Below are 19,824 nucleotides of genomic sequence, written 5' to 3'. Positions count from 1 at the left end.
GTATAGCACCTAAAGCAATCCAGTTGGTAAATAACAGACCCAGGATTTGAACGCAGATCTGTCCAACTCCAAAGCCGTGCTGTTTCTTCTGTACAAGGTCAGTGAGAAGAGGACTATTTGGCTCCCTTCCTAGCCCTTCCATTCTGACATCATCTTCACTTCTCAGTAATGGAGACAGACCTCGACCCACCATGGTTAGGCCTAGCTCTAAAGTTGTTTGAAGGATGATACTGCCTTCTGACCTTCAACCTGTCTCTGCTTCCCCGAACTCCAGCCTGCTTTTGTCCACAAAGCCAGGCTGGATGCAGAAAACATTGTCCAGTCTTCCCAAGTCTGATGTGGAATATTGTGTGCTTGAGCAGAGAGCACAGAACAGAGATGAGACTGCTGAAATAGGGGAGGAATGGGAGAGAGGCAAATATACCCTGGTTCAGGATGTTTGAACTGCCAAGCATATTTCTTGGAATAAAAGCAAGAATGGACGCTTTCAAAAAGCACCTAGGCATTGACCTTGAGCTCTGCAACGTCTTCTGCATCTTCTCAGGTAAGGAGGAATCCCTGAAAACTCTGATGATGGCTTGGGACAGCATGATTTGCAGAAGTCACCCAGCTTTGGCTAGATTTGCTATCTTGGTATGGGGGCTGGGGGAGAGAGTGTCATCTGCAGGAAATACTGATAAAGCTGTTCTGGCTGAAACCCCATAGGGAATCCATAGTACAGTTTATTCCAAATAATGATATGAAGTTATACCCTCAAATACAGGACCTCAACTTGATTCTGCAGTAGACTAGGTTCAACTGATGTTTGTTTTTTTGAGTAAATTAACACTTCTGCAGAAGGCGGCTACATGCCTCAGTAAGCAGAGGATGGGGGAGGTGGGGAGAAGAGACCAGGGGCCCTCAGGGTTGGGTCAGAGCCTCCTTAGCTTCTATCCACGTGGCAAAGCTGTAGGTGTGCTTGTGTGTCTATTCCTCTGTGTCTCTCCCTGCACGTCAGACAATCCAGCTACAATCGTCAGACTGCTCCCTTTACATTTCTGCTGGGGACTTGGAGGGAGGAGGGAATGGGGAAAGGGCTCCCTATTTAGAAATTGCATTGAGATGGAAAGACAATATGACACATCGGCTCATGTCAAAGGAGCTCATTCTTCCCGCCTACAGCATTAGCAATTTCCTACCAAGGTTCAATTTTTTTAAAGAAATTATTATTTGGTTTTAATTTATTTTATTTGCAACATAACTCAACAAGACATTGCTGCTCAGAGCAGAGTGGGAGCCTGCCCAAGGGCAGAGACTTAAGTTGGGGGCAGGAGATGAGCACATTGGCTATTTCCGAAGAGAGGAGGGCATAGGAGTGGGAGGCCTCTTGTTTCTGTCTCAAACCTCCTCTCATTCTGCCTCCCATTCCACCCCAGCTCCTCTTCCTGCATCTGAGAAGTCTGGTCTGGAGGTGCCCAGACTCGGGATGCTCCATGCATGGCTGTAGGCGCAATGAGAACGATGGGGGAGGGGGAGCTGAAAGTGAGTTGGCCTCTGTAAAACCACCCTCAGCTTCAGAGCCAGGAAAGGCTGCCTCCCTCCTCCCTTTGCCCCAGCCTCCTCTTTTCTCCCTCATGTAAAATCCTAGAGTGCTGTTGCTGGAAGGAGCCTCAAAGAGCTCCTAATCCAACTTCACATAGGCACACTGAGCCCCAGATAGGGGATGTGACAGCCTCGTGGCTGCTTTGGTGCACCAGCCCTGAATCCCAGCCCTCCCAGGCCCTGTCCAATGTACTTATTTGCCACCACTCCATGCTTAACTGTCTCTGCTCCTGCTTCTCTCCTCCCCACCCCTAAACCCAAACTCAGAATGGGATTTCTCTGAGAGATAGAATTGAAGGGCAACAATTCCACTTCTTTCCACCTCTTTCCCTCTCTGGGTTTGAGTGGGACCCTGGATCCTCCCTCCCAGCTCTTGGTGGGACCCTGGGACTCTGAATTTTATCTCTTCATATGGGAAGAAGCAAAGGTGTGTTTGGGGGTTGGGTTTGCAGGGCAAAGGGGTTTGAGAGACAAAAAAGTTTCCATCATTACATGAAGAATTTTTCTGCTTTGTGGCTGGTTATGTGACCACAGTGGTATCAGCAATTGACCTGGGGGCTGGGGGAGGTAGCGGGCTAAAGAGGACAACTAGGGTGAGGCTTTACCTTAATGTCTCCTTCTGAATGTGTGTTTCTTTACCTGTACATCTGTCTCCCTGTCTGTTTCTCTGTTCTCTATTTCCTATAACTGTCTCTCTGTATCTCTGTCTCATCCTCTGTCTCTCTCATTTGTATCTGTCTCTTGCCTCTATTTCTGTCTCTGTTTCTTTCTCTCTGTCTCTCTCATCTCTGTCTCTCCCACACACGCTAACTCCTACAATCCAACTTCAATAGCTATTGACTGACCCAGGGGCCCTAACCTGTTTCTGCAGCCCTATCAGGGCAGCAGCTCCTTCACACTGCTAGATTGAGAAATGCCAGGTCCGGAGCTGCTGCCGGGGCGCCAGAGACGCTGCAGAAGCGCCTGCCGAGTGTGGAGGCTGAATCCAGGAACAATGAGAAATTATCTGTTAATTCTCGGCTCCTGCCACCTGCTCTGCTCCAAACAAGCTCCTTTGCCTTCAGTTTAGATGCAAATTCCCCCACTCGATGTAAGCAAAATATTGATTTCCCTGCATCACAGGTCTGGGCCCTTGGAATGGTCCTGTGTTTTTTCATTCTCTGCAAAGGCAAAACAAGGTGCTTTGTTCTGTGAATTTCCCCCAGGAACTCGCGAGGGGGAGGGAGAAATAGCAGGGGAGTGACAGAGTTGCCATAAACACGGGCAAAGAGCAGTTCTCCATTTGTATTTTACATAAACACAAACCTGCCACTTGGGAAACTGCTAATAAGCGTTTAGCCAGAGGCTCTTCTGGGTGCTGAGATCTGCATCGGGTGATGGAAAAGAAATTAATGGGGCCTCTAGGCTCCTCAGGTGGGTTTTCAGAAGCACCAGGAAGGCGCATAGGGATGCCAGAGCCCCACTTGTTCTTGGAACAGCAACCAAACACCTCCAGCAGGAAGGCAGCCCGGATTGCACAGTATCGCCTGCGTCGTGTCTGCTTGGTCCCTGCCTGAGTTCCTAGCCTTCTGCTATCACAGGCACAGGGGTCAGGGTGGAAGCTGCGAACCTTCAACAATTGCCTCTCCCTCGTCCCCTAAACTTATGCCCACGCGATGGTAGCACCAACTGGGTCTTCAGCACCGTGGACAGAGCCAGGGGGCGCCTCACGGTGGAAAAGCCGCCTGGCTGGGCCAGGGTCCTCACAGGCCTTGCCTTAGCCCTTGGTGCCCCAGGCACCAGCTGCTAGGGGATCGCAAGTCCAAGGGCCGGTTGGCACAGATGGCGCGCAGTGGAGACCGCCAGGAGCTAAGGCTCCGAATCTCCTCCCTCCGGAACGTGAGTCACTGCCCGAGTCACTTCCAATAAGCGTGTTAATTAAGAGGCAAGACCTTTCTCCCTCGCCAGCCACTCGGGCATACACCAACCCAGCAGCCTCCAGGGGCTGCAGCTAAAGCTTCCTTCCCAGCTCCGGGAGAGCAAATGGACCTGAGTCTGGGGCTTCAGGCGAGCCCCACACAGAAGGGGCCCCACCGCCGACAGGTGTAGATCAAGAGACTCCCGAGATAGGCCCCTGCAGGGCGCTGGTCCCCCGGCCTCCCTGACCATGGCTCACAGACTTCCAGCGCTGAGTGAGGCAGCTCGAAGCCTCTCAGCCGATCTGTTCCTGGGCCTCACTCCACAGTTTCTGAGGGGATCTCTACTTTAAGTCTAGCCTCAATCCTCCCGTTGAGCTTTCTGTCTTTCTTGTTATGCTTAGCAGAAAGATACATGATCTCTGGTGCTGTTTCACCGAAGCAAGGAGGTGGGTCGGCGGAACTGAGCGCCCTGCGCCCTCTTGAAATGACCCCCCATTCCTGTTTGCCAGAAACTTTTCCCTCCCGTTGCCATGGAGAGAGACGGCCGCTGCCTCCCGTCGCCATAGCAACATGCGGGTACCGCGGACCGCAGGATTGCGGAGCTCGGAAAGTCTTGCAGTTCGCATCGCCCGCCTGTCTTGGGGTCTTCTACCTCCGAAGCTGGGACTCGGGGGCCAGTCTAACTGCTCCCGTCAGGAACCTCGGCCAAGGTCCTCCCAGACCCTGCCTGACCGTCGCTCTTTCTGTTACGGGGTTATCTATTTCTCTGTCATTCGTGTGGCATGTGGCAGTTTACCCAGTGTTTTCACAAACACGATCTTTCTATCCCCAGGGAGTCCGTGAAGTACTTAAAATCATTACACCTCCTTTACGGAGAGGAAAATTGAGGCTCAGAGACGCCCAAGGTCACACCAGGCAGTGAATGCGGAGTGGGAACCCGGACTCTTTCCTGGCCTTGCACCCTCCGAGATTCGGGACAGCCCGGCTTCCCGCCTCGAAACCCCCACCCCCCGGACTCAGGCCAGTCCCTGAGTGTAGAGGGGGCGGCCGCGAGGCGCCAGACTCGCCAGCTGCCGCGGGATGCCACGTGAGGGGCGGGGACCCTGCGGGGAAGTGATTAAAAGCAGAGCGGAGCCGCAGGGGGCCGCTGCAGGGAGGGTCTTCTTGGGGCCGTCGTGCCCCGCCCCAGTGCGGCCGGGGCGCGGGTTCGAGCTGCTGCTCGGCAAGCCTGGGTGTCTAGGGCATGAGCGGAGTGTGGGGGGCCGGCGGGCCTCGGTGCCAGGAGGCGCTCGCGGTCCTCGCCTCGCTGTGCCGGGCCCGGCCGCCCCCTCTCGGGCTGGACGTGGAGACTTGTCGGAGCTTCGAGCTGCAGCCCCCAGAGCGGAGTCCCAGCGCGGCAGGCGCAGGTAACGGGAGACCCAGGGCCCCCTCCCTTCCTGGATATCCGTCCTGCGATCTCCCTTCCCCAAAGCCCCGGTCCCAGGAGCCCCAGAACCTAGAGAGAACTCCCCAGCTCGGGATTCTGGATTGGGAGCCAGCCTCGTCCAGCCCTCTGGCCCATCGCTTGCACAGCCAGGAGAGACCCGAAGGGGAGCGGAGGTTGGGGTAGAAGCCCCCGGCCCTCCTGTATTACTACTGCGGAATGCGGGGGACCCCGCAGACAGCCAGGCTCCCAGGACGGGGCACCCTTGGGGCTTCAGTTTCCCTCGCATCTCCAAGCTCGCTCTGCGGGCGATTTGCCAGGAGAGGGGTCCATGGAGAGAGCGGGAGACGAGGGGCGCCCGGCTGAGGAATAGGGCTTGCCTCCTAGCGAGTGTCGAGGTCCCCGGGTCCGTGCGTCGGTCTGTCCGTCCGTTTGTGTGTTCTCGCGGTGAACGCGGGCGGACCCCCAGTCTCTCCGGGAGAAACTTGGGTCTGCGGCTGGCACGAGGTCTTTGTGTCCGGGTGTCTCTCCGGCTGCGAGTGGTTTTCCGCGTCTCCGCTGGGGGGCGGGGGACAGGGGGCGGGGTGGGGGAGGGTATGAGGGTGTTGCGGCGTCCTTCCCCCACCCCCTCTCGCCCCTATAACTCGCTCCCTCCGTCCCTCTCGGACTCGGACTCGGGGCCGGTGCGCGACTGAGCTGGCGCCTCTAGCCGACTTTGCCAAGAGGGCGCCTCCTGCCCGATCCGCGCTGACCCTGCGCGGGACGCAGCCCCAGGCGGCTGCCTAGCCGAGGCGGGAGCCCGAGCTGAGTCGAGCTCGCCGGAGCGGGTGAGTCCCGAGCCCGATCCCCGCCGGGCTGGACCCTGGCGCGCAGCTGCGGCGTCTCCGGGGAGTCGCGGCAGGGGGAATGGCGTGTCGCGCCCTGGCGGCGGGAGCTGCGGGAGGGTCGGCGACGTGGCGGCCGGCCCAGGGTATTTACCTGCTGCACCAGTGCCCGGCAGCCACGCTCGCCGGCTGCCGCGGGGCTTCTTTGTCCCGATATCTGGAGGGTCCGGGGCGGGAGGGAGTACTGGGTCGCGTCCCCTCCATGGGGGAGGGGCTGGGGGAGTGAGAGGCCTGGAGATAATGCGGAGTGGGGGTGGGGAGATCCTGCAAGGACCAGGACGCCGGGGTTCCAGGAGACTCTGCAGGCTCCATCCCTCCTTATTCCCCCACCCCGACCCCAGTAGCGCTGGGCCTAGGAGCACTCGGGAGTTGCTCAGTGGCTCTGCACCGCTGGCGCGGGAAGGGGAGAAAGGGGCTGCCAGAGGCGGGAATTTGGTCCCCACGCGCTGCTCCAGGGACGAGAAGCCAGGGACCGGCGGTTCTGGGAGCAGGTACAGGTGGGGTAAACTCCCCAGCGGCTGCAGGTCCCAGGGTCCTGTTTTCTTTCACTTGAGGTTAAAGGTCGTATATAGAGGTAGATACCCGTGAGGAGCAGTTCGGGGGAGGGGGCGGTGGGCCAAGGGGAGGCTTGTGTGTGTGAGGGGGCTGTATCCAGCCTTGGGGTGAGCGGAGCCCACCTGAGCCCTGTGAGGGTCGTAGGAGGCGCTGCTGTCCCTAGTTGTGGCAATGTTTAGTCAATGGTTTGATCACTGCAGCAGAAGGGACTGAGGTTAGACATAAAGAACTTTTAGAGGGTGGTACAGAGATGGAGGTTGGGGAAGTTGATTCCCTGCCTTGGAGATTCGCAGAACACATTAGGCCTAACAAGTTATTATTATAAGACTCTGGTTCTCTGGTGCCATCCCCTCCTACACCACGCATACACACCAGACACAGAATTTTCCCTATCAGGGAGCCTCTTCCTGCCTCTCCCTACTCCCCAGCTCCCTTCCGTCTTTTCCACCAATGATCCATCTCCAGTGGAGCCTTAATGCTGGTCCTGACCCTCAGAGCCTAGAGGGTGAGAACATACCTGTGGAGTTCCATCTGGGATGGAAGCTGACTCTCCTGTCTGTTCAGGGCAGAAATGCTGGGGGTGACGGTGGAAGTTGCTGGAAGTGGGGCAGGGCTGTATGTGTGCAGCACATCTTGGTAGGGGGAGGCACAGGTGTTCTGACTCCACAGAGATACCCATAATCTGGAATGACAGGTGCCTGGATGGCCAGGTTGAGGGTGAGAAAAGCCTGAGGGGTGAGAGTCGGCAGGCCCAGATGAATTACTATGCCTTCCCTGCAGGCTGCATCAGAAGATGAGTTCTAGTTGTTAGCTCAGGAAAACTTTAACTTTGGCTGCTGAGTCACAAGTCCCAGGAAGCCCAGGGTCCAAGCTGAGAGGCTGAAAGGGATATGGGGAGGCAGGAGCAGACCCTTTGATCATAGCAAGAGAAAGATAGTGGTTGAGAGTGGCCTTGGGATTTTGAGAATTTAGGTGACCAGAGGGTCTGGGGAGATGCCATGGAGTTCAGGACCAGGCCCCAGCTGTTCCGCCTCCCAGCCTGCTCTCTGGGTCCAGATTCTCCAACCAGCACAATGCTAGAGCTTTTCATTTGTTGCAGTTTTATGAAAAATGCAAGTGGCTAGAGCAGGCCCAGCTCTGTTTACCATTTTATGTTTTCCCTTGACTTCTTCCTGTTCTAAGTCTCTAGCTTACAGATTTCTAGTAACACCCTGAGACTGAGATTCAGACTCCACTGTCATTTGCTGAGACTCCTCTATAGGCTAGAGTCTGTGCTAGGAATTGCACAGGAAGTCTCAGTTAATCAGACCCTGACTTGGAAACACCTGTACACAAACTGTCCAAACTAAAAGCAAGTTTCCCCTTTTTCTTTAAAAACTCTGAAGCCATAGGCCTGCTATTCTCCTTAATACACCCCAAGTGAACACTAATAAGCAGTTCTCCACCTTTCATTGTGTCATTTGCCTTGTAGAAATGAATGAACTTTTTCCATAAGCCAAGCTGCAGAGGTTTAGGTATGGTCAGCATGGGTTCTGGACTTAAGGTAGCAAGCAGAGGTCCAGAAGTGCTCCAGCAAATGCAGAAACCTGACAGGAGACCTCAAGCTTCCCTGTTTTTCTTAGGCTGGCAGCCGGGAGTGGTTAACTCCAGTTTACTTGTGGCCATGAAATTTATGTGATGTTTGTCCTTCTCACTGGAAGGATGGAATTCTGCAGATTTTGCCCTTTTTGAGGAAAGGTACAATGCACAATCCTTTAGAACCCAAGGAGATGATATTCTGACTAGTGTGTTTTGAGCTTTAGAGTTCTAGAAGCAGGGTCCAGTATCTAAGAGTTGTAGAGCCCTTAGATTTATAGTTCTAGAAGTTTTCTTCTCCCTCTGACTTTGATGAGAACGTCAAGTAGGGATGGTGGTTTCAGTATGTGTCATCCCTCTAAGCTCTGTACAAAAGACATGTTCTCTTCTAACTGTCTGAAGTTTATCTTCCCTGTCCACAGAGTTAGGGGTATAACATGTGGCTGCAAATAGTGAGGAGTGGCATTGAGGCATCTGGATCAAACCAGGTTTCTTTATGGTCTGTATAGGGTTGTCTGGAGTGGGGAAAGCATGCTAAGACAAAGTTCCGACTAAACTGGGTGGCACCCTTTCTATTCTTGCTTAGGAAAAGAAGCCTCTAAGGACTGAGTCACACTTAGGAACTGAAATCAGAGGAGTCTCTGAAAGTAGAAATAAACAGGGGCATCCAGATCTGGACCCTCCAAGTATAATGACACAACCTCATCCCTCCCTTCTTTCTTCTAGGAGCACTGAACTCTTTCTTGCTCCCCGAGGACCCAGGCAGACCCCTCCTCTCACTAGTTGCAGGTACAAACAGGGAGAGAAGCATAGAGGGAAAAGAATTTCTGGCTGTCTGCCCTCCACCTCCATCACTCCAGCCTTGATCCCACATTCAGAAGGGCCACATGCCCTGACCCCTCAAGCAGAAAGGTACAGTTACCATCCACCAAACTAATAATATTAATAATTGTTAAATTAGTGCCAATGTTCTGTTAGCTGTAACACTCCACATTAGTCTCCGATTTAGCTCTGAATCCCCTAATGATGGTGGAAGTGAGCGCCCAGTCATAAAGCTTGGTGCGGCCGTAATTAGCTTGGCATTGTCTCTCCTCATCACAGCTTTTTCAGGAGCATTAATTCCTTCTCTGTTTGGACTCTGCTAATTATCCCCATTGGTAGCTCAGTCTGGATCTCTGAAAGAAGCAAAGGAAGCAAAAGCCCTCTGCTCCCCTCCCCCCAGCCCTGAATTTTAATTACACCGGTTCTCCTAATAAACTTACAAGCCCTGGCAGAGCTTATTATTAATTATTAATGGGCCACGTCTGAGCCTCAGTACAGAATAGCTCTGTTCTCCCAACACACACACACACACACACACAATCTCTCTCTCTCTCTCTCTCTCAGATATTCCTCAGGTACACCTTTTCCAGAGGCCACTGGTTACTTGCCTGGTGGCTGGTGGGCAACCTGAAGTGTCAGCTTTCCAGGGAAGAAGATGGGGCAGGTGGTCACCAGGCTGGTCATAATCTGAGTCTCTGGGGCTCTGTCCAGGTTCATAGGGTCAGGCCAAAAAGTGGGAGTATCCCTCCCATCCTCTCCTGAGTACAACTAAGAAATGCCTGCCCCCACTCCAACTTCTCTGTCCAGCCTGGGACTCCACAGCTCAATCTGTAGTCCTCCCAGATACGTGATTCAAGAGCCCAGATTTGGGCATCAGCAAGTCCTAGGTTCAAATCCCAGCTCTTCTCCTTAATGCACTGTACCCTTGAACAAGTTACCTGGTTAACATCTCTATGCTTAGTTTCTTTATCTTTAAGGGTGTATACCAATTTCTTAGGGAGGCTAGAAAGGTTAAATTAGATAATGTAAAGGGCATAATGCTCACTATGTATTAATAAATAAATAAATAAATAAATAAATAAATAAATGATATTATTAGTATTTTATGAGTGGTTCTGCCCAGAATCTCTTCTCTTCCCAGGCTAAACGCTCTTCTTCCAAGCTCCTGGGCCTCTGCGTCACTTGCTCCCTGGCCTCTGGGCTGTGCTTTGTCTATGTCTCTGTCTGTGTCTGCACGAGAGCTCCTTGGCCGAGGCAGCTCCTGCTCTCCCCAGCCTGAGCACTGACCGTTTCTGAGGGTCCACCACCAATTCCAGGCCCTGAAGCCAGCCTTCTCTGGCTTTGGGGTGAGTAGGGAAAATGGTTCTTTCTTTTTGCTTCCTCTTCCCAGTTTATCTCTTCAATTACAATCTGTTAGCAAGAACGCCTGTTACTGTTACAAAATGGATTTTTCTGATGTGGGAGCCCATTAGAAAAATGGGAACAATAGCAAGCAATAAGAATTGCTGATGAATTCTAACACTATGGGTGGAGAAGAGGGGAGGGGGCACTAGGGCTGTCTTTGGAGAAAGAAGTGTCAGTGGGGGAAGATAAGAAAGCCCTGAGCTGCTATTTAATAACCCAGCATTTTCTGGAAGAGGAGGGAGACCATGGGCCATCACCCCAACCAGACAGTCTCATTTAAGGTGACAAGCAGATCCTATCCTGATGGCCTTGAAGGGGATCTCAACTTCCCAGGAGAGAAGAGGGGCCTGACGTCCCTCAGATTCTTTGTCCTCTGATCTGGAGTCTCCCTTCCCTGCCTCAAAGACTTAGCTTAGCTTTGTGTCTGTTCTGTATACACAGTCAACTGTTATCCTCCACCAAAAAACAAAACATGAAGAATAACAGCAGCTTACATTTTGGGGACATTCACTGTGTACCAGGGCCTGTGCTCAAAGTCTTAGCTTATTTAATATTCACAATGATTCTGCAAAGTAGGAATAATTCGAATCCTGACTAAATAAAAGAGAAAACTAAGATTTGGACAGGTTAAATAACTTGCTCAAGGTCACGCAATTAGAAAGCAATGAAGATGATACATGCTGTGCTGTCGGTCATTCTGGCACTGCCGCCCACCTGAGATGTCCATCCTGTGTCTGAGCACCTGTGAGTTCAGTTTCACAGCCAGGGCTAGAAGCCATGTGCCCCTGTACAAGGCTATGTCACTGGGGTGTGATCCCAAAGCCTAGTTCCATAGCTGTTTTCTCTCCCATGAGACTGCTGGAGAGTTGGCTACTATGGTTTACCAAATCAGGTGCCCATGAAATACTAGAGCTCCTCTGATGCCTGAATGAAAACATTTTACAATGAATATTGAGCAATAGGCTTCTTTTCCCCAAATTTCAAGAAATTTTTCAAGAACATAGGATGTTCTCAATTATAGGTTTTTCTTCCATGATCTTCTTCTTACTTCTTTGGAATTCATTCCTGTTCACCAGCTGGCTGGTGATGGTAACAACAAAACAACTGAGGAGGCAGCAAGCAAATGAGTATTAGCAGGAAAAGCCTGGAGATGTGTGATCTGAACCATAGTTTGTGTTACGTCTCAAGATACAGACGGACCTGGCTATGTCCAAAACCATTATATTATTTCTGCTAGTAAGATTGTTCTTGGTTTGTAAAGACAAGGTTAAAGCTATCTCTGTTGATTAATGTTCAATGGTTTTCAGGTGTTCTGCCCATTAAACAAATTTCAAAACTAAGGACTGTTTCAAATTGGGCTGGGCATAACTAATTCTAATAAAAATAGGTGATATTTATTATATTGCTTATTACATCTTAGGCACTATCCTCAACAGTTTTGGTCTCATTTAAACCTCACAATGACCCTAAAGGTAGATACTATTATTACCCCCAATTTATAGATGAGGAAACTGAGGCTGAGAAGTGTTACATAGTTTGCCAAGGTCACAGTTTAAAACTAGTAGAGGTAGACTGTTAGTGAGGCCAGTCTGACTTCAGGGCAATGCTTCCTTCTCTCTAAGCTGAAGAAGAAGTAAAGAAGAAGACAGGGAAGAAGCATCCAAATACCTAGGAGGTACTTTCTCTTTTTCAGTGCTGGGCTGAGCCCTCTCTCCCTTACTGGAGGCTTACTTCTAGCTTTTCCTGAAGTGAACGTGTGGTGTAAATTGGAAGAGCACTGGATCAGGACTCAGAAACTGGCAGAGTTGCCCATCAAAGTTCTAGCTGCCTCAAGGGGTCAAAGTTCAAACAAGATGTGAATGGGAAAAGGGTTTTGAAGGCTATTTGTGCACCTGTGATTTCCTAGGGGACATGTCCCAGTGGGTTGGCCCCAGCAAGCCCAGAGTGGGAAGGCATACAGCTTAGGTTATCTGGGCCTTTATGCAGCCCTTAGGCTGTACAGAAGCCTACAGCCCTTTCTAATCTCAATGTAACTTAAACTAGGAGATGAGGGATGTCTGAGTTCAAGGCCACATACAGTGATTTTAAATGAGCTGAATCTTCTACAGTCACCTCCTCCCTGCTGCCTGCTTCTGGTCTTACTAGCCTTGCTCACCAACCTTGCATCTCCTGTGAAGACAAACCCACTCAGTGTTTGAGACCTAATTCTCCTTGCACTGCCTGCCAGTGAGATGTCAAAAGCCCAGGCTCCTCTAGTCCTGCAATAAGATTCTTCAGGCATAGGACGGGCCTCCTGGTCTCATATAACCAGTATTGAGTGCTGGGTGCTGATTCCAAAAAACCATGCCCTCTGCCTCCCCTAATCACAGCTCTGAGGGAACAGCAGCTGGGGGTCACATGGAGAGGCAATCTAAATAGCAACCACACCAAGGAAAACCTCATTGTCCTGCCCCACCCCCTTCTCCTACCTCTCTTTTCATTTACGAATTCAATTATTTGTCAGGCTGAACATTTAAATGCACTCTATGCTCTCTAGATTCCCCCTACTCCCCTTCTCATTAAAATTCTAATTATTACCAGAACAAGTAAGATGTATGATCAAAGGAAAGCAAAGCCCTAGAAACACCTTTTGTTTTGAGGTGACTCATATTGCAGAGAATGCATCCAGAACAGCTGTAACAGAGAACAGATGTGAAGGGCTAGAGATGGCCAGATATGTAGAATAAGGACACATATAGCTGTGGTGACTTCCCTGGTGAGCCCACTAGGATAAAGACCTGAAGAAAGAGTCTCCAAATTATTTAGATCATGAACTCATAACAGGTTAAAAAAAAAAAAAAAAAAAAAAAACTTAATACCTCCAATATATGTTTTTTTGTTCCCAAGTTACATACATGTTCCACAGAGGTGATACTTCAGAACCAGACTGGCTGGGTTGTAGCCCAGTTTCACCACCCACTAGTTGTGTGACCTGGGAAATCTATTTAACCTTCTGTGCCTCAGTTTCCACATCTGCAAAATGAGGATAATAATCATACCTTTTTCATTGGAGAGGATTAAATGAGTGAATAGATATAAAGCTCTTTGAACCTTAGACATAGTAATGTTGAATAAATTGCCTAAATCTAATAACATGCTATTATTCCTATCAACCTGTATATTAAAAATTTGATTTCTTTTAAAGATTATAAATATTAAAATGGCTTGGTTTTTTTCTCTTGTGTCCACCTGCCCCGAGCTTCACCCCATTGGAGACACCACCACATTGGAGACCTTTAGTATAGAAGTTGACTTAGAATGAGCTTTCCCGGTGTCTGGCAGTCTCCAGGTGAAGGACTACCTCCAGCTCCTTTGGCCAGGGAAAGGCTCTAATGTCCCTGTGCAGGGAGCCAGGTGTTGGGAAGGCTTGGGAAGGGGGTGGTGGTAGGTGGCTCAGGACTTGAGGATTCTCTGCTATTATTACCTATTCTCGGAGGTGATAACTGATCTAGGCAAGTAACTTGCAGCAAAGGAATCAAAAGGCAGTGCTGGCTTCCCAGAGAGAGTGGCTGATATCCTCAACTCCTTCTTGGCCCCTGATGTGGGATCTCTTTCCCTGGAGCCTATGTGCTGTGGGAGTACCTGGATCCCCTTAGCAGGGGACTGGGCATTCAAGCCTTGCTCAGAACTTGGCACATGGCAAGTACTCAGTAAATGTTGCTTGACCTTAATTGAAATGAGAGCTAATTACAGCCTTCTCATACATCATTCTTTCAGTCACTCATTCATTCCATGTGCCAGTTTCTATGTGAGGCCCTGAATCAGACAAAGAGGAAAAACACGTGTCATAGTAGCCTACAGTTTAACCAGAGACAGACAGGTCAGGGCAGAGGAAAGAGTGCCAGCCTGGGTGGTGGACATCTGGACCCTAGTCCAGGTTCTGTGTCTGACCAACCTGTGACTCCAAGCAAGTCCCTTCTGTGAACCACTGCTGCCATCTTTAAAGGCACAGCCTGGCCTCACTACTTGTGGGGTCATTTCTTACCTTAAATAGTAAGATTTTTAAGGCATTTGGACAGGCTAATACAGAGGCTTCAAACTTACAAGCTTTCAGGGGCCAGACAGGGAACAGGAAGTGGAGGGTTGAGCTGGTGAGGACATATCCTTACAAAGAGAGTCACCAGTTCCCACCATGTGGGAGCCCATGTTCAATTACCAAGTCATTGGTCTTTTCCAGTGAATTCAGAAGTCTGGGGTGACGATGATGATGGAATTTCTTAACGTTTCAATCATTAAGCAAGCCAAACAAAACTCTTCTGCTAGTTTGTCCACAGTAACCTTTTTGCAAACCCTGCAAAGTATGCCCTTGGTTCAGAGCCTTCTAACTTCTCTACTCCGAGCAAGAAGAGGCCTTGGGCTCAAAGGTTCATTCCCAAATTTGGAGAGGGAAGTGGGATGGGAGGTCTGCTTAATAATTTCTCACAAAGAGGGGCATCCCTCATAGGGGCATACCCCTTTCTTGGGATAATGGGCATCCCTGGGGTCAGGGGTGGGCTGGGGGTGGGGGAGTGAGAGCCCACCTCCAAACCAATCACAACATTTAAAATACCAGTTTTACAGCAAAGCTCTTGAATAGCCACAGGAATGGAGGAGGACAGCTCTAGGAATCATTTGTACACAAATACCTTGGAGATATTGTAGGTTCAGTTACAGACTACTGCAATAAAGCACATATCAAAATAAAGCAAGTCACACAAATTTTTTGGTTTCCCAGTGCATATAAAAGTTATATATATATACACACACACACACACATGCACATAAGTTATATATAACTTATATGTATATATACACATATAAGTTATATATAACTTATACATATATACATATGTATGTATGTATATATAGATATATATAACTTTTAAACTGTGCTACTTTTATACTATATATGTATATATACACACATAACTTTTATACTATACTACTTTTATACTATATATACATATATGTATCTAAAACTTTTATACATATAAGTATATGTAATTTATATATGTACACATGTAAACATATATATAACTTTGTGTAATTCTATTGTACACTTAATAGACTAAAGTATATTTTATAAAAAGAAATAGAATTATTAGAATAGCACAATAGAATTAAATAAAATATATATAGTATAAAATATACTGTAGTCTATTAAGTGTATACAGTATATACATATATGTATATATACATATATGTGAATATATACATATACACACAGTATAAAATATACTGTAATATACTGTAAATATAATGGCATCAAGAATGGTGAATCCTATTCATATGGTTTTCAATTTACTTTGCCCAGATCCATCAGAGGAATCACTATCCATGGCAGCTAAAGCCTTACAAAAAGTATACATTGTAATATATTTACCTATATATATACACATATACAGTGTAAAATATACTGTAGCCTATTAAGTGTGCAATAAAATTACACCCAAAAACAATATATACACCTTAATTTTAAAAGCTTGATTGCTAAAAAATGCTAAATTGCTAAAAATGAGCCTTCAGTGAGTCTTAATCTCTTTTTGCTGGTGGAGGGTCTTGCTTCGATGTTGATGGCTGCTGACTGACCAGTTTGGTGGTTGCTGGTGGCTGGAGTGGCTGTGGCAATTTCTTAAAATAAGACAACGGTGAGTTTGCTGCGTCAATGGACTTTTCCTTTCACTAAAGATATCTCTGTAGCATGCACCGCTGTCTGATAGCATTTTATCCATAGTAGAACTTCTTTCAAAATTGGAGTCAATCCTCTCAACCCCTGCCACTGCTTTATCAACTAAGGTTATGTAATATTCTAAGTCCTTTGTGGTCATTTCAGCAATGTTCACAGCATCTTTACCTGGAGTATATTTTATCTCAAGAAGATAAAATATTTACTCATCCACAATTTATTTACTCATCCACAAGAAGCAACTCCTCATCCATTCTTCAGGCTCCACTTCTAATTCTGGTTCTCTTGCTATTTCCACCACATCTGCAGTTATTTCCTTCACTGAGGTCTTGAACCCCTCAAAGCCATTCACGATGTTTGGAATCAACTTCTTTTAAATTTCAGTTAATGTTGATATTTTGACCTTTTCCCCTGAATTATGAATGTTCTTAATGGCATCAAGAATGGTGAATCCTATTCAGACAGTTTTCAATTTACTTTGCCCAGATCCATCAGAGGAATCACTGTCTATGACAGCTAAAGCCTAAGATTTGAAAGTTGAAATTACTCCTTGATCCATGGGCTGCAGAATGGACGTTGTTTTAGCTGGCATGAAAACAACATTTATCTCCTTGTACATCTGCATCAGAGCCTTTGGGTGACTAGGTGCATAGTCAATGAGCAGTAATATTTTGAAAGGAATCATTTCTTCTGAGCAGTAAGTCTCAACAGTGGGCTTAAAATATTCAGTAAACCATTCTTAAACAGATATGCTATTATCCAGGTTTTGTTTTTCCATTTTTAGAGCATAGGCAGAGTAGATTGAGCATAATTCTTAAGGGCCGTAGGATTTTTGGAATGGTAAATAAGCACTGGGTTCATCTTAAAGTCATCAGCTGTGTTAGCCCCTAAAAAGAGAGTCAGCCTGTCCTTTGAAATTTTGAAGCCAGGCATTGACTTCCCCTTTCTAGCTATGAAAGCCCTAGGTGGCATCTTCTTCCAATATAAGGCTATTTCTTCTACTCTGAAAATGTGTTGTTTAGTGTAGTCACCTTCATCAATTATCTTAGTTAGATCTTCTGAATCACTTACTGCAGTTTCTACATCAGCACTTGCTGCTTCATCTTTGAACTTTTGCATTATGGAGAGGACTTCTTTCCTTAAACCTCAAGAACCAACCTCTGCTAGATTCAAACGTTTCTTCTGCAGCTTCCTCTCCTTTTTCAGTCTTCATAGAATGAAAGAAAGGTACTGTCTTGCTCTGGATTAGGCTTTGGCTTAAGAGAATGTTGGGGCTGGTTTGATCTTCTGTCCAGACCACTAAAGCTCTCTTCACATCAGCAATAAGACTGTTTTGCTTTCTTATCATTTGTGTGTTTGCTGGAGTAACACTTCTGATTTCCTTTAAGATCTTTTTCTTTGCATTCACAACTTGGCTGTGAGGCACAAAATGCCTCGCTTTTGGCCTGTCTTGGCTTTTGATATGCCATCCTCACTAAGCTTCATTATTTCTAGCTTTTGATTTAAAATGAGAGTCATGTGACACTTTCTTTGACCTGAACACTTAGAAGTCAAAGTAAGGTTATCAATTGGCCTAATTTCAATATTGTTGTGCCTCAGCAAATAGAGAGGCCTAAGGAGAGGAATGGCCAGCCAGGGGAGCAGCCAGAACACACACAACATTTATCAATTAGGTTGGCCATCTTACATGGATGCAGCTCAGGACGCCTCAAAACAATGACGATAGGAATATCCAAGATCACTGATCACAGATCATAGATCACCATAACAACCATAATAGTAATTTAAAAGTTTGAAATAATGTGAGAATTAACAAAACGTGACAGACACAAAATGTGCACATGCTGTTGGAAAACTGGCACAGAAAGACTTGTTCAAGGCAGGGTGGCCACAAATCTTCAATTTGTAAAAAATACAGGATCTGTGAAGCACAATAAAGTGAAGCATAGCAAAATGAAGTGTGCCTCTATTTAGCTTTGAAGTGCACTGTGTAGATCAGATTCCAACTTAATAGAAGTATTTATTGAGCCTACTATGCACAGAGTTCTGGGAGTACAGAAGAACATAATCCTTGCCCTTAAAGAGATTATGCTCAATCTCATTCACTTGAAGTCAACTCAATGTTTATTGAGTTCCTGTCTTGGGCTCAGTGGGGATGGGATAAAGAAGAAAAGAGGATGAGTTAGCCAGCCTCTGCCCCCCAAGGTATCACACCCTGTTAAGGAAGTGGGCTGTAGACAAAAATGACTCTAAGTCTGGCCATAGTAGCAGCTTTAATAGAAATTCAAACAGCATCTCAACATGAATCCTTCACAAATTTGCACATTTGCTTAGGCTGCTATTTAAATTATTTTCATTTCCCTGTGCACGTGCCAATAGCCAGTAGAGAGGACAGCCCAGGTGCTCCCCAAGCTGGCTGGGGGGATAGGGGTGGGGGCGGGAGAGAGGATGATGCTGGAAGAATCAGATTGAGGTGAACACAAGGCTGTACATACTCCACCAAGTGGACAATCAAGAGTCAACCCTGAAACCACCTCTCCCTCTGACCTGGCAGCTTTCTCATGACCATTCTTCTCTCTTCTTCCGTCTTTGTCCCTTCCGTGTGCCCCCTCCTCCAACACCCTCACCCGCTTCTCCCCGCCTCTGTCTGTCTGTCCCTCCCTGCCTGGCTCATGCCGAGGGCAGGCACCTCTGTCAGCCTCCTCGCAGTTGTAGTTATTGTGTGTGGCGTGGCCCTGGTGGCAGTTTTTCTCTTTCTCTTTTGGAAGCTGTGCTGGATGCCCTGGAGGAACAAGGAGGCCTCCAGTCCCTCTTCTGCTAATCCCCCCTTGGAAGCCCTCCAGAGCCCCAGCTTCAGAGGCAACATGGCGGACAAGCTGAAGGACCCCAGCACCCTGGGCTTCCTGGAGGCGGCCGTGAAGATCAGCCACACGTCCCCAGATATCCCAGCTGAGGTGCAGATGTCGGTCAAGGAGCACATCATGCGTCACACCCGGCTGCAGCGGCAAACTACAGAGCCAGCGTCATCCACCAGGTGAGGAGTGGACCACTCCCTTCCCTGACCCCCACACCTCCACACTCCCTTAATACATCTATGGGATTCCAGCCTGTGGGGATCACAGACCAGAAATAATAACACATATCCTTTGATTGACAAATATGTCAGATGATGTGAGCCATGATGGGTGATCAATGAGGAGGTGGGCACCAGGAAAGACTTCATGAAAGGGAAACCTTTGAGGCGGGTTGCTGTATATGTGGTTTGCACTTGGGGTGTGTGTGGGTGTGAGGGGAATGGAATAGTGGAATAGGGGAGTGTTGGATGTTTGGAAGGAAAGACTTCAGGCAGAAGGAAGAGAACAGTAAAGGCCTAGAGATGTAAGAGTTCATGGTGTGTTTAGGGATATGTCAGTAAAGCCTGATAGCTACAGTCTGCAGTACATGGCAGATAAGGCAAGGGAATCTTAATAGTTTGAGAATCAGGATTCCTTTAAAGCCTTTCAGAGTTCCCTGCATGACAACAACTGTAAATACATACAGCATCCTTTAACTGAAAATAGCAACAAGAAAAACATAACGACAAAAACCTACCCTAAATTCAGAAGCACTTTTAAAAGATGTGGTGCAAGCATGCGTAAGGCATTGTATTTACTCAAAACTTAGGGCTCTGATGGACTCCTAGGTCCCTGCAACGGCTCTCCAGGCCCTCAGGGGACCAACAAAAGAGAACGAGGCCTGGTCTTCAGACTGGAGGCCAGGAATGAACATGCTGGGAGGTCACACTGACAGTCTGTCATATGGCCTTGGGCAAGTTCCTCACCTTCCCTTAGACTCACTTTTTCCAACTGTAAAATAAGGCTGATGACTTTTATATGGCAGTTGTGAGGAGCCAATGGAAGAATCAATGTGATTGATAAGGAGAGCTAACACATATATTGCTTATGATTATGCTTGGCTCTATTCTAAGCACTTCATATG

At 48.0% G+C, this 19,824-nt stretch overlaps 1 protein-coding gene across 9 annotated transcripts in view, besides 3 other annotated features; it reads left to right on the top strand.

Annotated features, from left to right (window-relative positions):
- Positions 1,614–1,908: a silencer, noted in NCBI's record as "tiled region #1115; HepG2 Repressive non-DNase unmatched - State 22:ReprW, and K562 Repressive non-DNase unmatched - State 20:ReprD". NCBI's record gives its function as "represses a minimal TATA promoter and a strong SV40 promoter by Sharpr-MPRA in HepG2 and K562 cells {active_cell/tissue: HepG2 | K562}" and the evidence as "EXISTENCE:reporter gene assay evidence [ECO:0000049][PMID:27701403]".
- Positions 2,838–3,451: an enhancer, noted in NCBI's record as "H3K4me1 hESC enhancer chr1:114697666-114698279 (GRCh37/hg19 assembly coordinates)". NCBI's record gives its function as "activates a minimal SCP1, AML or CMV promoter by ChIP-STARR-seq in naive H9 embryonic stem cells {active_cell/tissue: H9 hESC(naive)}" and the evidence as "EXISTENCE:reporter gene assay evidence [ECO:0000049][PMID:30033119]".
- Positions 4,626–19,824, top strand: part of SYT6 (synaptotagmin 6) — a 64,578-nt gene continuing 49,379 nt past the window's right edge. For 4 of the 9 annotated variants that reach the window (NM_001366225.1, NM_001366224.1, NM_001253772.2 and 1 more), the window contains exons 1-2: positions 4,626–4,885; positions 18,532–18,880. In NM_001366225.1, the coding sequence (NP_001353154.1) occupies positions 4,723–4,885; positions 18,532–18,880 (512 nt within the window). In that variant the 5' untranslated portion in view covers positions 4,626–4,722. Of the gene's footprint in view, positions 4,886–5,572; positions 5,730–6,054; positions 6,278–18,531; positions 18,881–19,824 lie in introns of those variants that run through there. The other 5 variants (NM_001366226.1, NM_001270805.2, XM_024453337.2 and 2 more) reach the window with 4 other exon arrangements.
- Positions 12,239–12,951: an enhancer, noted in NCBI's record as "NANOG-H3K27ac-H3K4me1 hESC enhancer chr1:114688166-114688878 (GRCh37/hg19 assembly coordinates)". NCBI's record gives its function as "activates a minimal SCP1, AML or CMV promoter by ChIP-STARR-seq in naive H9 embryonic stem cells {active_cell/tissue: H9 hESC(naive)}" and the evidence as "EXISTENCE:reporter gene assay evidence [ECO:0000049][PMID:30033119]".

This window comes from Homo sapiens, chromosome 1 (assembly GCF_000001405.40).
Source record: "Homo sapiens chromosome 1, GRCh38.p14 Primary Assembly".
In the NCBI taxonomy this organism is placed as follows: Eukaryota; Metazoa; Chordata; class Mammalia; order Primates; family Hominidae; genus Homo; species Homo sapiens.
The sequence above is the reverse complement of the archived record's forward strand: the minus strand, read 5'-3'. Positions and strand labels throughout refer to the sequence as shown.